General features: G+C 31.5%; 1 annotated feature.

Moving 5' to 3' along the window:
* Positions 238-909: an enhancer, noted in NCBI's record as "OCT4-NANOG hESC enhancer chr6:23218776-23219447 (GRCh37/hg19 assembly coordinates)". NCBI's record gives its function as "activates a minimal SCP1, AML or CMV promoter by ChIP-STARR-seq in naive and primed H9 embryonic stem cells {active_cell/tissue: H9 hESC(naive and primed)}" and the evidence as "EXISTENCE:reporter gene assay evidence [ECO:0000049][PMID:30033119]".

Raw genomic sequence — 2,480 nt, forward strand, 5'->3', positions numbered from 1 at the left:
TTTTGGTTGGAGAATGAAAAACTTAAGAGTATAATTAATATCAGTTATCTTCATTTCTCTCAATCAAATCTTGCACTTTGATCTTCTGCCTAATTATTCTAGGAAAAAATCTAATTTTTTTCTAATATCCATCCTTGTTGATAGAAAAAAAATAAAAGAATGAATGCACAGCTCTTTGATTCTTTTGGCTCACTTTAGAGTATTTAGAAAATTATAGAAATCTCTTCTAAAAATCAAAGTCACCTGGATTCCTTCCACCTTGAGAGATCCAGTAATTTATTGTATTGTGGTATATTCCACAGAGCAATATTCTGTATCCCCAGACATCATTCTAAAGCATTATTTTCAATGGTAGAATGAGGTAAATAAATAAACAGTAAGTCATTTGCCTCATGGTTACAAAAGAATATCGAGTTCACAAAGATCTGATGTATCAATAGGAGGAGGCAGTTCTGAATGCTAAATCAAATTATACCTTTTCCTGTTGGGATTTCAACATCTGCCTCAATGTAGATTGATGAGAATAAAGGAGGCCATCAGAGGCCCTTTGTCTGTGCTTGTTTGGGTGAAACAGCTGACAAGTGGCCATCAGATTACCCACAGAGGGGCAGCTGTGAGATAAGAGTTTGACAGCTGACTTCATTATAATTCCTAGGCTACAGACTGCAATGGATTTGTCCTTTAATTGAGCTGGGCCAGAGAACTGCCCAGAGAGGAAATGGGAGGAAAATGCTTGGATACTGATAACAACGGCAAAAGTAGCAGGTAAATCCCACTCTATGACAGAACAAATAGTATCAGGACAATCCTGGGAAAAAAAAAAAAGCAAAACATGTTTTGGTATGTTGAGCATTTCAATCGCTTCAATTGAAATTCCTGTAAGTTGACTATTGGAATGTTTTTAGAAATTTCTTTATTAATCCGGATCATTTTCCCCTTAGCAGGCAATTGTCTGCTAAAAAAAAGCATAAAAATAATATTTGCCTATCACTTCCTTTGCCACATGCTTTTGAATGCTATGTATCAAGAGAAGTTTCTCGAAAGCATAGGAGCAACTAGGAGATTTATGTACAAAAAAGCAAAGATTTTCTATGGTTAACAAGATTTTGGAGAAATTTGTGACAGAAAAAAGGAAACAAACTGTAGCTTGTCAAATTATATGGTTCACCATGATTCAACATGTATAGATATATTTAGGAACATAAAACAGCATAAGGTCAAATATTCCTTAGTGAAATCTTGCAAACTGAAATATCAAAGGCAACTGGATTTACCAAAACATGTATGTCAAAATAATTCACTATTTCATATTAAAACAAAGATAATTTAAAACTGCATACAATGTGAAAATGTTACAGATTTTTACTTTGGGAAATAACTTTGTAACGGGCTTTGGCATTTAAATATATGTGCTTCTGTAATTCACCTTCTTTTGCTTCTACTACATTTTTCTCCCCATTCACGATAAGAGTCAGTGTGAAATCACTAAAAATTCACACTGGTCATAAATAAAATAATGCATATTGTTCAATGTCATTGTGATAAATGCTTTTTGTGAATATATCTATTTCTATTAGCATATTATTTTATATATTGAAACTTTTATTATTTGCAAATATAGGATCAAATGAATAAATTAACCACAATAATTCAACCATTTTTTTGTTAATATTTTCTGTTTCCTTTCTCAGAAAATTTTTGCGAGATCATCACAAGAAGAAAAGTCTAAATGTATTATTATTGTTTACTCTTCCTGTCTATGAATGCAAAGCCAGAAATGTGAAATATTTAAATAATAATCAAAAGAAAATCTAGATGATGTTATATTGATAATTGTTTTTAGAATCATGGAATTTTATGCACTCAAATATCTAATGATCATTTACTCAAATCACTCCTTTCTTTTGGGGAGCAAAAATCAATGTAGAGATGGAATTCATCATAAGACTCACAACTTGTTAACAGAGATCTTCTGAACAGAGGAATTTGAAGTCCGCTTTATTGAGACCAAGAGTTGGATATCACTGTCAGGCTTTTCACACGATGTCAATACTTAATTCAAGAAGGACATTCCCTTAATATAACATAGTGGTTGAGAATACAGGCTCTGAGCTAAATTGCCCAAGAGCAAATTCCACCTCTGCCATCTACTATTCATCTATTCTTGGACAAGTCATTTTCAAATATCTTTGAACCTGATTCCTTATCTGTAAATTTAGTTGGCTAATATTATCTACTTTAAAATATTACAGGTTGTGTGTGTGTGTGTGTGTGTGTGATGATTAATACATGTATAACCCTTAGAACATGTATAAAGTAAGCTTAATATTAAAGGAAGTGTTAACTATGTTCCACTCTCTTCACCCCAGTTATCCGATTTTTAGAATAAATAAACTAATTAATAAAAATGAGTACATTAAAAATTGCATTTTATGTTAATTTCTTAGAATAAGTAAAATAATAATAAAATAAATATACAA

Source organism: Homo sapiens, chromosome 6, assembly GCF_000001405.40.
Source record: "Homo sapiens chromosome 6, GRCh38.p14 Primary Assembly".
Lineage (NCBI taxonomy): Eukaryota > Metazoa > Chordata > Mammalia > Primates > Hominidae > Homo > Homo sapiens.